Here is a 15,291-nt window from a genome sequence, read left to right on the forward strand (position 1 = left end):
AGGCTGAGACAGGAGAATTGCTTGAACCTGGGAGGCAGAGATTGCAGTGAGCTGAGATAGCACCACTGCGCTCCAGCCTGGGTGCAGAGAGAGATTCGAGCTCAAAAAAAAAAAAAAGGCATCATATAATATGCATTTTTTTCAAGTTGCTTTTCACTTCATCTTCCCACATGGATCTTCTCCATTCTCTCACTGGCTGCCTAGAATTCTGTTGCCATAGGCACCACCATGTATTTAGTTAGCTCCCTATAGATGAATTTTTAGGTTGTTTTGGATTTTCTGCTATGACAGCAATGTTACAATAAACGTATCCAGTCATTTTCCCCATTCATTTAAAATTATTTTTAATGACACAAGTGTTGCATGCAGACATTCTCATTGTTTTATATTCATGAATTCAGATAAAGGGAAACTCCTCCACTCTAGCCACCTTTGCAGTCACTTCCAACTTTCAATATCCTCCCCACAGTACACTGTTATCAGAGTGGTATGTGAGCCCTACAGATGCTTTTAATATGCATCTCTGTACATACATGTATGCTTAGCTATGTATGTTTGCTCTGTGTGTTTTTAAAAACACAAAAGGTATTGTATTATATGGATTGTTTTGTATTTGGCTTTTTATCATTTAAAATCACAAACATCTTTCAGTGTATACAGAGCTACCTCATTTTTTTTCAGAAGGCGTGTTCAATTGCTTGCATCTCTCTCCCTCCCTCCCTGTCTCTCACCTTCCCTCCCTCTGTCTTTTCTCCCTTTCTTCATCATTCCCCTACTACTAATAGAAATTTAGGTTGTTTCCATTTTTCTCTCTATAAAAATATTGCAATAAACATTCTGTGCATGCCTCATTGTGTTCACATGAGAGTTTTTCTATAGTATTGGTAACTAGAAGTGTAATTGCAGAGTGGAAGGGTTTGCCAGGGTGGGCCTTGTTTGTGGCCATAGGAGGTTGTGGAAGACGTGGGTTACAGGTCCCAGGTGGCTGTTTGCAAGATGGGAGAGGATCTTCCATTTATTCAATAGTTTACTTGCTGTGGCCATATATATTCAAATCTAGAAAATGTAACCAATCTACAGTGACAGAAACAGATCAGTGCTTGCTTGGGGATGGAGAACAGGAGAGAGGAATTACAAAGGGACAGGAGGAGCTTGGACAGTTCCTGGTGACACTGAGCCCCTGGCCAGGTAGCCCTTTGGGCAGAATGATCAGAACAACCCTTCGGGTCACCTACGGGCCCAGCTGCACACACTGTTGGGTCCCCTCTCTCTTCCCTGTCCCACTGGTGATGACTGATTCCGACTACCAATGAACCCTAGGAAAGGTCAGGGGAGGTGTGCAACGAAGTGTTCAACAAACCACTGGTGCTGAAATCTTCTCTATGCCAGGCGCATGTGCACCAGGCAGGGCCGGGAGTTGCAGCCCGGTGGGAGGGACACACTTGCACCAGCTGCCCAGGGCTGTGATGGTGGTAATGTGGGATGCTACTGTGACACAAAAAAGGGGCTTCTGATAGAGTCTAAGGGTGGCCGGGGAGGGGGTTCCTGGCAGAGGTGGAGGCTGAGCTGAGTCTTAAGGGATGAGTAGGAATTAACCAGGTGAAACAGACTTTAAGCGTGTGAGTGTGTGTGGGTGTGTAAAATGTCTACTTCTTGATCTCCCCTCCCCTTTTCTAGTAACAGCACCTTCTTTCCCTTCGTGAGAACTTCTCAATGGCTCCACGTAATTCTGGGAACTCTCAATTCCTTAACCTCTTCTCACCGGAGCCAGTCCAGGATAGGCACATGACCCAGGCTTGGCCAGTCAGATTTGCACTCTGGGCCACAGGGATTGGCTCAGAGATGGGCCAGTCAGAGCCCTCCCTGGGACTTCCACTGCAGATAATGGGAGAAACTCTTGGCTTTGGGGTCACACAGCTGGAAGAAGCTGCTGCTTGGGACCCCCTTCCTTGTCCTCATGGGATGTGGTGAGAGAAACAGAGGCTGCTTTGCAGAATGAGGCAGAGACAGATGAAAGACAGGCAGAGAAAGAATCCTTGAGGGCCAATGAGAGTTCCATTCCTGTAGCTTCTGTTTGGAGAGCTCCCCTGTGTCTTCTCCAGCCCTGAAGTGGGGGCTGTCATGGAAAAACTCCAACCTTACAGACGATGGCAAGGAGCAACCCTGCTACATGCCACAGATGCCCAAAGCAGACTTGACTTAGTAGACCAGAGCACAGCAGTTTCTTACCTATGTGCAGCAGGCAGCGGGCCCATTAGTGCAGTTGCATGGATTCCCTGCCCCAAATCCCATGGGGCAAAGGGATGGACTCTGGTGGATGCTGCACACACAGTGAGTCCTGCTGGAGCTGAGGAATCCGGGGCTAAGGGTCTGGTACTTTTAGAGCATGCAGTAAACATTGTAACAAGTACTAAACAAGTGAGTTCCCTTCCTGTAAGGAACGGGAAGTTGCCACTGAAGGTACCACAGCCCCCCCTTGGCAGGCAGATGGAGACCATGTTTTGAGCCCACTGGGTTATGGTGGCCGAATTGCTGTGCCCATGCCAATGACGGATCCTAGTAGTGATGTCGGCTACCTCTTCCACCCAGTCGCCTGTGAGTATGACATCCACACGGATTTATAAATGTCCCGACGGGCTGCTGCCATGGCTTTTCAGAGCTCACAGCTCCACAGAAATGTGTCCTTAATATACCAGTCAGCCATCACCCATGTACTTGACCAGATACCTGGATTACAGGCCATTGTCCCAGAGTTGATGAAAATATAACATGTCTGGTCCTTAGGAGTACCATCCAAGGCAAGGACAATGACTTTCAATTGGGCCCACTGTGCTCATTGACCCTTCCTGAAGTGGGACTTTCTGAGTTGTTCCAGCTAGACAGCTGCCCAGTGGACACCATCAGTTTATAGTTTGGCTGCGCTGCCAGTAAACCAAGCCCGAGCACTCTCAGGAACTCCCTGGAATCGGGACCAATATTTCAGGTAGTGAAAAATTACCCCTGTGAGTAATTGAGGGGAGGTAACAGGACCCCTAAAGGTATGGTTGCATCCTTTTTGCATTAGGGGGACTCGCTTGTGGGGCTAGAGTTGCTTTCCCCTCGAACACTGTTTCCATTTACTAAGAGAATACTGTTGTGCCCGTCACGCTGCAGCCAGCATCTTAGGGGACCCAGCCTGAGATGGAAATATCTGCTCTAGTGTTACCTGGGGGGCCTGCATGAGGTGTGTGGTCTCCACAAGCACCCACAGCAGGCCTAGCTGTTTACCCAGTGGAGTGTAGCAGGGTAGCTGGGTAGGGGAGGCAGGGAATCCCAAACCCCACGAAGTGCCTGCCGGTGAAAATATCCTGCCTTTACCATAGGCTCCAACCAGCCACAGATCCGGAATTAGGGTCCTTGGGCTTATGGATTCCAAGAGTAGGGCTGTCTCTAAGCACCGCCTGCAGATCAGGTCCCAGATGCTTTTAATAGATTTTCTGGTCAATGTATACATAAGGCTCAATAAAATACCTAGCTGAGGCTCATCCTGTTTTCAGTACCTGAATAGCGCAACTAAGTGCTGTTTGTTGTTGTTGTTGTTAGCTGGGTGGGATGGAGGGCCAGGGTGGGAAACTTCTCCTTTCCAGTCTCAGAGTCCATCTTTGTGCTGCAGCCCACATTGCCCCAGAATTTGACATGGGTGGTTGGTCCCTGTAAGCAAGTTTAACCCCTCTTTGTACAGATAAGAAACCCAAGGCTCAGAGACATCAGTAACTTGTGTAGGGTTGCACAGGAAGTGGGGGACAGGGCTGGGGTTTGAACCCAGGTCTGTAAGATTCCTCAGTCCACACCTTTCCCCTGTCCTGCGTGGTTGCCGGTCTTTCCCCACTATTATCCACCAACCTTGTCTGGGAAGACCTAGGAGGCAAGTCCTGAATTAGGCAGGGCCAGACGCCAACTCTGGAATTCAATTTCTTACCCAGGCCTTTGGGATGCAGGAGTGGATGTCTACACTTCTGTCTCTGAACCCTCTTCCTTCTCACTGTCCCCAGCCCTGCCCTAGGCCAGAGCCTGTCGGTGCTACCTGGACCATTGTAACAGCCTCCTGACTGCCCGCCCCCTACCCCGCACATCCAGTCTCTCCTGAATTCTCCTTTACGATTCTCAGTCGTGTGGTTTGGGTGGGATGGCCTGCTCCAACTCACAGCTCCAGGGTGGGCCCTGATTGGTCTGAGCCAGATAGTCACTGGGCTGTGACTGGCTGGGTTGGACACGTAATTGAATCGGAACCAATGAGATGTGGAGATGTCTGCTCCAACTTCAGGGAAACGAATTGTTCTTTTTTTACATTCAGCTATGGCTAGAGACTCTCTTCCATTCCGAATGGTGTGATGTGAAGAGGTGAGACCAGGAGAATGTGGGTCATTGGAGATGAGGGTGGGGTGGAGTGGGGAAGCGGGGGTGGGGTGGGGAAGCGGGGGTGGAGAGGGATGGGAAGAGCGAGGAGTGCTATCCTGGGAAGCCTGAAGATTAAACTGGTATCTCAGAAGGCAGAGCAGGGAGATGGAGAGAGCCTGTGTCTAAGTTGATATCATTTGAGCGGCTAGGTCAAGCCACACCTGAAGTTGTTCGTGAGTCTGTATCTCCATAGAAAACAAAACTGGGCAATTTGAGGAGAGTTTGATAAATGGACAATTTATAAAAGGTGACGGCAGGGTGAAGGGGACACCCCAGGGATAGTTCAGCACCTCAGGGCAACTAACGAAGGGGCCATTACTACCCTGGGGCCTGAAAAGGGTGAGGAGAGTGAGCAATTATCAGAGCCTGGAGACACAGGGCTGGGTGGAGAGGGCTGCCCTGTTGGAGCTGTGAGCCTGGGTCACTGACCCTGGTGGCCCCTTCAGGGAGTCAGGCAGTAAATGCCTTGGACGCACGCTCCTCCCTCCCTCCTGTGTCCCGTGGGTGATCCCCACCAGTTGAGCTAGACGGATGGTAGTGCAGTCCACATGGGTCATCCTTCTGGAGCACGGAGCAGGGTGGGGTGGATTGGGATGGACACATGGAAGATGTCCAGGGCTTAACTCTGGGCCTCTCAGTTCCATGACCCATTAAACTCCCTTGACTGAGCTGGGGTGAGTGGGCCTTTTACTGCTGCATAGAGGACTAACTAATACGTGCACCAGGCAGGGTACCCCCAACCCCTGTCTCCCCTGCCCTATCTTTGCTTATGCTTTGCCCTCAGCCTGGAATTGCCTTCCCTTGCCTCTAGAAATCTCCTCTCTGACTGCCATCCTTCTTCTTAAAGTCCTGACCCCACAGCTAAAGTGAAAAAGGCAGCAGAGAATAATTAAAATATGTTCAAGAGACCTGGGCTCAACTCCTTGTTCCACAACTTAACTTGTGAACTGTTGGGCAAGTTACCTACCCTTTCTGAGCCTCGGTTTCCTCCTTCATCCCCTGCCAGATTTCACCCCTTGCCCCTCATGACCTTGACCCTGTGCTTAGCCAGGTGTGTTTGGAACAACCCTGACCTACCTCTGTCTCTAGCCAGCTGTGTGTCCTTGGGCAGGTCTCTCACCCTCTCTGGGTCTCAGCTTCCCCATCTGTAAATCAAGGCTTTGATTGAATTCTCTGACTCTTGATTGCTCAGGCTTCCTCCCACCCTGAGGAGGGGAGGCTACCACTGGAGCAGCTTGGCAGCATTGGGAAGTCTGGCACGTCCACTGTGTGTGTTTAATTACTTTGGCAACTGTTTACTGCCTCCTCGATTTCCTGAGCAAACGGTCCCATTATTTGGAGTGATTTACTGGCACTAGCTTTGCTTGTGAGGAGTGGAAGCTCCAGACGTGCCCCCGCCTCAGCCCCCATATGCTACATGTGCTCACACAGCCAGGCCTTCTGAGAGGGCTGAGGGAAGCTGGGGCAGAGTGCCAGCCTTCCCGGGTGTCCTGGTTCCTGGGCCCTGCGTCCCCTCCGATCTCTGCAGGCTCTCCTGAGTGTAGTCTGAGGTTCTGCTGCCTGGTGGTTAGAGCACAGACTCCGGGACACAATGAGCCTGGGTTCAGGTCCCAGCTCTGTGACTTCAGTCAAGCTCCCTCTGCTCCATGAGCCTCAGGTTTCTCATCTGTGCAATGGGAATTGCAACTTTCCCAGTTCCCCTTCTCTTCAAGGCACCTGCTCCCCAACCCCTTCCACATGGCAATAGTGGGGGCTCTCCCAAGGTCTTCCTTGATCTTGTTCCCTCTCCTGCCCACTGTTAATTTAGTCTAAATTTGGTGCCTGACTAATGCTGGGCTGATCCTAGTCCCCCAGCTTGCAGACCCCCAAGAGTTGAATAAGGCTGAGATGAACCCCCACTCCATATGCTGCTGGTGGTAGATTCCTGCTGTGGTCTGAATGCGTGTGGCCTCCCACATTCATCTGTTGAACTGTAATCTCCAGTGCAATAGTATTAAGAGATGGGGCCTTTGGGCAGTGATGAGGTGAGCCTTTGTAGATGTGATTATTGCCTTTATATAAAAGAGGCTTGAGGGAGTGTATTTGTCCCTTCTGCCATGTGAGGATGCAGCAAGAAGGTGCCATCTATGAGGAATGGGCCCTCAGCAGGCATCAACTCTGCCAGCGCCTTGATCTTGGACTTGCCAGCCTCTAGAACTGTGACTAACACTCTTCTGTCATTTATAAATTACCCAGTCTAAGGTATTTTGTTGTAGCGGCCCAAATGGACTAAGACAACTCCCAGTGGGCTTTTGTCCCCAGGTGGGGCTGTGGCGGAGGGGTCTGCCTCATACCACTATGGCAGCTTCCAGCGGAGCCTGAGACGGCCCTACCTTAACATGCCCTAGCCCCAGGCCACCCCCAGCTCAGCTTTTTGCTTTTATCTTTTTCCCTCCCTCCCTCCTGCATTACCCCTGGGCAGCACCCACCCTCCAGATGTCCTTGCCTTCGGCACTTTCATTCCAGTTCCGCCATCCATTCAGCTTGACAGCCCAACCTTGCTCCAGGCCTACTTGCCACTCACACCTCACCAGGTGCTCAGCAGAGCCCTCTTTGGCCTGTATGAGGGCCCACCCATCACAGAAGGCTGTGGGGCTGGGACCAGAAGGCAGACTATAGACATAACACCAGGGAGGGAAGTATCTGACCCCTGCTGTCTGACACTGGGGATCAGGACTGTCCAGGCAGCTGCAGGGGCCATGGAGACTGGCACAGAGATCATGTGCCTGCTGTCTTCTGCACGAGGCAGTGGCAATCTGGGCTTGCCCCCTTGGGGCTGAGTAAGCCACTTGGGGTTCTTAGGCTTGTCCCTGAACCTCTCTCTCTGCATGAACTCACACTCTGTTCCCACAGGCTTGCCGGGTGTTTCCTTAGTGGGGTAGATTTTAATGCACGGCCACAAGTTCCTCCCATCCTGATGTGCATGCCCTTTGAAGCAGGACTTTGTTGCTTGTCTTATCAAGAGACAGAGTCTGCTTCCCCTTACCTTGAATCTGGGCAGGCCCATGGCTTGCTTTTGCTATAGAATTCAGGGGAAGAGATTCTATATGACTTCTGGGAGATGGCCTCAGGGGCCTTGCAGCCTCTGTTTCTGCCCTCTTAGAATGCTGCCCTGAGACCACCACTTAAGGAAGCTGGCCTGGCCTGCTGGAGATGAGTGGGCACATGGATGGCTGAAGCTTCCTGACCAACAGCCAAGCACTATCCATGTCAGGGAGGTCTGATTGGGCTTTCCAGGCCAGATGGAATGCAGCACAGGAGAAAGTCCAGGTGAGACCAGCAGGGACGTGCTTGGCCAACCACAGCATTGTGAGAAACAGTGCATTGCTGTTGTTTTTAAGTTTCCAAGTTTTGGGGTGATTTGTTACACAGCAAAGGGTAATGGAAGCACTCAGGATTGGTAATCTTTCCAAAGATAAGGAAACAACCTTCCTGAGAATTTCAAGATGGAGGCTCAGAGTCAAAGCACTTTGGATAGCGTTTGGACCTTTCGTTGGTATTCTGGCTGCCCATTAGTGGTATGAAATAACAACTAGAGTATATGGGTCAGGAATTTGGACAAAGCACAGTGGGGATGGTTTGATCTCCCTTCCACAATGGCTGAGGCCTTAGCTGGAATTCAAATCTGGCCTTTTCAGGGTTGAATGTCTGGGAATGGCCTGAACAGCTGGGTGTTGAAAGCACACAGATAATTTCTCAGTCATGTGTCTGATAGCTGAGCTGGGATGGGTTTGAAGACTGCACTTGGCTGAGGATGTCAACCAGAGTTCTACCTGTAGCCTTTGCATGTAGCTTGGGCTTCCTCACTGCATGGTAGCCTTAGGGGTAGTTGGACTTCTCACGTAGCCGCTTTTGGGACCTAGCCTGGAAGTGATACAACTTCTATCATATACCATTGGTCAAAGCAGTCACAACCCTCAGACATTCAAGGAGAAAGGGCATAGACTCCACCTCTCTATGGGAGGAGAACTTAAAGAATTTGTGATAATGTTTTAAAATTGCCACTTTTTGTGGTGGAGAATATTGCTGTTGCAGAAACTTGGTCAAAGATCATCTCCAATTCTAGGTGCCATATCTAAGTTTGACCCATCCCAGTCAATCATTCAGCAAAGGCACATGGCATGTTCTCTTCTATTCTGGAAACCAAGAAGGCAGGCAGGAGGCTGGAGCCCTGCAATACTTGCAGAGACAGTCACCTCCTTTCTGTGAACCCAGGACTATCCATTCTCCGCTTGCACATAAAAGTTTTCTCTTCTTTAAAAACAAGAGCAGCTTATGGGGATCACACTAGTTGGTCTGATTATCCTAAGGATAGTTGGCCAGCTTATCCTAAGGAAATCCTGGGTTCATGATTCTACATTTGATGCAGTGAGAAAGCCTTGTCTCCTGGACCAAAGGTTGACCTGGGCAGCATGGCCATGGTCCTCATCCTCAGCCTGATGCACAGTGGAAGCCATGGTGGGACCCTCGCTGCCTCTGAGCTGATCTTTATCCCTTTGATGGAGATGATCTCTGCCCAGGGGGAACAGGCTTCTAAGTAGGAGGAGAGGGAGGTGCTAACTACAGAGGCTGCCCAGCTGAAGTTTTTCCAGTGTCATCTGCTCTCTGTGTTCCTGGCCAGGCCTGGCCCTGGAAAATCCCCATTGTTCTCCACAACCCTATATAGAACCCCGGTCTGAAGTGTTCCAGACTCAGAATGTAGCCCCATCCTGGCCCAGCAAAAGCCTGTGGTTTAAGAGCTTTTCTGTTAGGGTGGATTTAACAACCGAGTTTCCAATTGATTTCTAGAGGGAAGTGGGGATGGATTTACAGTTCCTAAAATAGGTTTGCAGCCTTGATGTGAATCTGTACGAGAAAGCAGTGGGCAGGAAGTTATCGATGTGACCTCTGACCCTGGGGAGGGAAAGATAATGAGGGGTTTATGATAAATCCATCTTCTTGGGGTTTATCGCTAGGCCCTTAGATATATGACTTGGTGCAGACAAGTGGCTCTCCTAGTGCCACAGGGAGGAGGACTGTGAGGCATGAACTCCAGGAAGTAAGCTTCACCCGATGTCTTCCGCCCAGGCTCTCAGAAGACTGGCTCTGCCCTAAGACCTCTGGCTTTGCAAAGGGTTGAAGTCTGCAAAGTTCCTGGGAACTGCACAACTTGAGTCATCTCTGGAGACCTGGGGGCTGGCTTCCCCACCTGCCCTCCTGAAGGCCCCAGCTGGCCCTTCTGTTCCTGCAGTGCCCTCCCCATGGTGGGGTCATCGATCTCCCTGCAGGCTTCGAGAACAAGGCAGGGAGGAGGGAACCACCTTGGCTGTGGGTTTGGGAACAGATGGGCCCTGGGTTTGAATTATGTGGGATTCTCCCACTCACTAGCTGTGGGGCCTCGGGGAGTTCCATGCCCAACCTGGCAGTTTCCTAGCCTGTGCAATGTGGGGTGAGATTTCCCTCCAAGGATGCTGCAGGATTCAATGAGATGAATGTGTGTTGGGAGCCGCACAGCACTTGGCATGGGTGGGTGGGATGTGGGACCTGGACAAAGACAGATCCAAGTTAGAGCCAACTCTGATGGCCATTATCTGTGTGATCCTGGACACGTGTCTCAGCCTCTCCCGGGCTCAGTTTGCCCCACTGTGAAGTGGGAATAGAGTCGTCGTCATGACAAAGGGGCAAACGAAGATCAGGTGCTCAGTGCCATGATGGGCGTGAGGTCAGTCATCTTTGGACAGTTTTGCTACCCCCTTCTCCTGGGCACTGCCTGGGCAGCAGATGCCGGCCTGGCCCTGAGCCTGTGCAGACAAAAGCGAGGGACTCTTGGTTCCTGCCTACGTCTTGTGCTGATAAAACTGAGAAGATAAAGCAGCTTCCAGGATGGTGCAGTGGAGAGCGGGTCAAAGCACAGGCGTCTGAATCCTGGGTCAGCAATGTCACCAGTTGCAAGGACTCAAGGAGGCCACTTTCCCTCTCTGAGCCTCAGTTTCCTCATCTGTAAAATGGAGAGGATGATGAAGATCCCAGACATGACACAAGGTAGATGCTTTCTGTGTGCAACCCTACAACAGCCATGCAAAGCAAGCATTATGGGCGGTCCCATTTCACAGGTGGGAAAACTGAGGCTTAAACAGGGGAAATTCCTTGCTCAAGGTAACTAGGACATGGTGGAGGCAGGATGTGAACCCAGGGATTCTGGCCCCAGGCGCACACTCTGGTCTGCTCCTTGGGGTTGCTCTGAGGATCCCTAAGATGAAGGCCGAGGTTGGGCTCTGCAAACTCCAAAATGCTGCGGAAAGACCAGACGCAGTCCCTTCTACGGGGGATGGAATTTCAACCTGACAGGTGTGGCTGGACCCTGTAGACCGTGAAGTGCTGTGATAATTGTTACCAACATTTCTTGAGCACCACCTAAATGCCAGGCACCGTGGCAACACTTTACGTTCAGCATTTCATTAAATCTGCTGTGAGGTGGGAATCGTGAGTCCACCTCACAGATGAGGAAACTGAGGCTCAGATGGTAAAGCCCCTTGGCCAAGGTCATACACAAACTGGAATGTCAACACAGGTCTCTCTGACTCCAGAGTCCAAATTCTTACCTGCAGGAACATTATTCTGTCCCTGTCCACATTACTCCTAAACGTTAGGACATGGCTCAGGATGTTCTGCTGTGCCCACCTGCTGTTTAGGTGAAGAAGATGGGCTGAGGTCAGAGTTGGGTGACCGTGGGGCCTGGAGTAATCAGGGCTTCCTGGAAGGGGTGGATTACATGCTGAGGGTGGAGGGGTGGACAGGGCTGACTGGCCTCTGGGACAGAGAAGGTGCTGGGGAGACTGAGCTCTGACTCTGTGAGGAGCAAGTGTGGGGCCAGGTTGAGGGTCCAACCCAGGGCTCATTTCGGGACAGAGGTGGGGTCTTCCAGAGTCACTCATGTGGCTAGAAAATGCCCAGACCCGACTGCAGGCTCTGATGTTCCCCCAGTATCTTTCGTTGTCAGAATAGCTGGCTTCTTCCTCTTGTTAAGAAGTTGCATGTTTTCTCATATTTCAAAGTCACGGTTTTATCAATTTGGTGTCTCAGACCACACAATCAGGAGGTGAGTTGTAGCTTTCTCCTCTGCCGTATACTCAGTTTTATTGACTTATCCTTCCTCATTTTTCAGCAAGTAATTCTTTCCATGAGCTCCCATTGATTTCTGGATTGAAATATTTCTTGATGCACTTTTTAATGAGAGTCCTGTCTCAAGTGCACTAGCATCAGGTTAGAGCATTTCACTTTGAGCCTCTTTCATTGTAAAAACAGCATCAGTTCCCACTGGGAGAGTGGTGTACCCTTCTCCTGGTCCTCACTGGAGCCATGTTGTGTACCATCCATCTGGGACCCTAGCTGCGATGACAATGTACCCTTCTCCCAGGGGCCTCACAGGGGACACAAGTGCCCCTCCTTCTGAGGTCCTCCTGGGGACATCTGTGTCCCCTCCTTCTGATCCTCACTGGGGAGGTCTGTGCCCCTCCTCTTGATCCTCACTGGGGACGTTTGTGCCCCCTCCTCCTGAGGTCCTCCTGGGGACGTCTGTACTCCCTCCTCCTGGTTCTCACTAGGGACTTCTGTGCCCTTCCTCCTGGTCCTCACTGGGGAGGTCTGTGCCCCTCCTCCTGGTTCTCACTGGGGACGTCTGTGCTCCCTCTTCCTGGTCCTCACTGGGGACACCTGTGCCCCTCCTCCTGGGATCATCATTGAGGACATTTCATCTGTCGTGTAAGAAGCTTGAGCCCAGGGCCAGGCAGGTGGCAGCTGCTCCACAAACACCAGCTCCTCACTGTCCTCAAGGGGATCCCTCCCTAGCTGGGTGTTAGTGCAGGTGCATCGTGCAGGGCCGGTCAGTGTCGCCCTACATGGAGTGTCCCCACTTCCCTCCTGCAGTGTCATTGTCAGCAAGCATTCATTGAGCACCAACCGTATGCCAGGCCCTGTGCTTAGCCCTGGGCTCCCAGAAGATTCTTCTGAAATGAGGATTGGTCACATCCCTTTCCTCCTGACCCTTCAGTGGCTTCTCCTTCCCTCCAGGATCAAGTGCAGACCCCCCACTGCTGCTCCCAGGCCTGTGTGGCCCAGCCCTCGCCCTCCCTCCCCTCCCTGCTGTCTCTCCCATGGACACTCGAGCGCTTTGCTGCCACAGGGCCTTTGCCCACGCAGTTCCCTCCACCTGCAATGCCCTTTCCTGCTCTCCTCTACTTGGCCGGTCCCTTTGATCTTCATCAGCTTAAATGTGACCTCTCCCCCCACTGCCCCACAGACTTGGCTCCCCTCACCCCAGCTTCTTGGCATTCCTCTGGTTTCTCTCAGCACCTTCTGTAATTCTTTCCTTGGGGGTTTACTGGAATCACTGTTGCTCTCACTAGTCCATGAGCTCCAGGCGGGCAGGGGCCTCATGGGTCCTGTTCCTGGGTATTTCCAGGGCCCAGCACACGCCTGGCACAGGGTTGGTGTCTGGCTATGTTCCCTGTTGAGTGGCTGAGTAAATGCAGACCTGGCCCCAGGTCTGGGTCAGTCAGAGGCTGGAGGTGGGGCCTGGGAGCCGCCCTGATGCTGGCAGGACCACCATAGACCTGTGACTGGTGGCGTTGAGGGATCCGTCCCACAGGGACTAGCCTCCTTGGGGAACTGGGGGCTGGGGAGTCGGCCTCCCCGCCCCCTCCCTCCTCACAGTGGTGTTTACCTTCTCAGGTGACCTGGCTCTGTGCAGGGCATGGGCTGGGCCTGGGCTGTGCTGCAGTGATCAACGGCCCTGCGCCCTCAGCAGGAGCAGGCTCCTGCCTCTGCCTGGGTGGCTCAGGGTGGGGCTCGGGGCTCTGCTCACTGCAGTCTCTCACCTCTCACCTGGACAGGGCTTCATGCAGCAACAGGAAGAAGGCATCAACCCTGCCCTGGCCCTTTTTGCCCCTCCTGGAGGTGACACACGCCGCCGCCTCTCACAGCACAGTGGCCAGAGCCAGTCACGTGGCCACATCTCCCTTCAGATTCAAGTGCATTCAGCCACTTGTCAGGAATGTGGGAGCTGGTGATGTCGGGTGCAGCACTCAGAACTTTCACCTGTGTCCCTGGCTGGGCCGAGAGCTACTGAGGGCAGTGTCCCCCATGTCTGCAGCTCCATCGTGCCTGTTCGGGGCTGAGCGCAGAGCAGGAGAAAGCAATGCCCTGTGCAGTCCAAATGGACAAAGGCTGCCCCTGCCCTGTGCCAGGGCCTGTGGGCCCAGAGGTGATGACACAGCCCCGAAGTTGGGGAGTGAGACCTGCGGGAGTCACCACCCAGTGCCCTGAGGGCAAAGCTTTGTCCTTGTGCTCCTGCCCGGGGCAGTGAGTGTGGGTGGTCATACCCTGACTGCGGGTCAGGCTCCCCGGGGCCGGCCCCTCCCCCAGCCTTACTCGCCCTCAGCTGCCCATGCTGTCACTCCAGGTGAGACTGAGCTATGTCCCTTGCCTGAGTCTTCCCTGCCCCCACTCTTGCCTCTGAGCCTATGCCACTGCTGTTCCCTCTGCCCGTGCACAGCAGGGACCTGGGAGGACTCGGGAACCAGGCCCCCTCGGTCTGAAACCTGGCCGGGTGGGTGACCGGATGATGAGCAGTTCCTAACCTCTCTGTGCCTCAGTCTCCTCATCTGTAAATGGGGGTAGTGATAGTGTCTCCCTCACTCTCACGGGGGCTACTGTGAGGATTTAATACAAGTAAACGCTTAGAACACAGCCCCAGCACGTGGCAGGTGACAGCAGCGAGTGATGGTCAGTCCCCACCCTCCACGTCTGCCTAACATCTCACCCTCGGGGCTCAGCATAGACGCTCCTCCCCGGAAGACATCTGGCATCTCTGCATCCCCAGTGCCCAGCACAGGGCCTGGCACATGGAGGCTCCAGCTGTCCCCAAAGGCCACTGAGCCTGACGCCCCCTTCCAGGGACATTTGCCTCCCAGTCAGCACCACGGGAAACCAAATGCCTGAGGTGAGTGGGCGCCAAGTCCTGGTCCCTGCATGGCCCTTTGGGGACATCTGGAGAAGGCTGGGACTCTCCTGCACTCGGAGCTGCCCCTCCCGTGTGTTGGGGGGTGCAGCTCATCACATCTGCTTATGTCACATGTTTGGGCCATTTCTCCTCCTGTGGTTGGCACAGCACGAGTGTCCCGTGCAGCTCTTTTGGGCAACATCAGAAATATTTTGATATGGCCTACGAAATAGACCTTTAGGATTCCAGCAGTGCCAGGGAACTCAGTGGTGTTTGAGACAGACACCCTCACTGTGTCTCTTCGAAGTCTCAGTCGGTACTAAGCCGGGAGGGGCGGGGACATGGGCGTTGCCAGGCATGTGACTTGGCAATGAGATGTGGGATTTGTGCATTTTGACACTAGGCCGTGTCTAACTGTCCACCTCAGATCTCTGGCTTTGCAAATATCAATAGGGTATGTTTAGCTATTTCAGGCACTTAACCTCTTTGGACCTCAGTTAAGAGCTTTGGAGCCTAAACATAGATGTAAATCTCTGTTCAGCCGCCCATGAGCTGAAGGAATGGTTGCTGGTGCCTGCCCTGTTGTGGATCAAGTGCTGAGCTGGGCTTGGGGACACAGGGGTGGGCAGGACAAGGCCTCTACCCTCAAGGAACTCACAGACTGGTATGGACCAGGGGTGAGAGAGGAGAGAGAGGCCCCTGACCAAACTCGGCCAGTCAGGAAAGGCTTTCTAGAATTCAGGGCCTCAGCATACTGCTGCACAGGCTGTGCACTGCACAACTCACACATGGACATGCCGTGAAGGGCGCCCCCTAGAATGTGCAGGCAGCAGCCC

At 52.7% G+C, this 15,291-nt stretch overlaps 1 annotated feature.

Annotated features, from left to right (window-relative positions):
* Positions 13,618-14,344: an enhancer, noted in NCBI's record as "H3K27ac-H3K4me1 hESC enhancer chr1:29877072-29877798 (GRCh37/hg19 assembly coordinates)". NCBI's record gives its function as "activates a minimal SCP1, AML or CMV promoter by ChIP-STARR-seq in naive H9 embryonic stem cells {active_cell/tissue: H9 hESC(naive)}" and the evidence as "EXISTENCE:reporter gene assay evidence [ECO:0000049][PMID:30033119]".

The sequence above is a fragment of the Homo sapiens genome, chromosome 1, assembly GCF_000001405.40.
Source record: "Homo sapiens chromosome 1, GRCh38.p14 Primary Assembly".
NCBI lineage: Eukaryota > Metazoa > Chordata > Mammalia > Primates > Hominidae > Homo > Homo sapiens.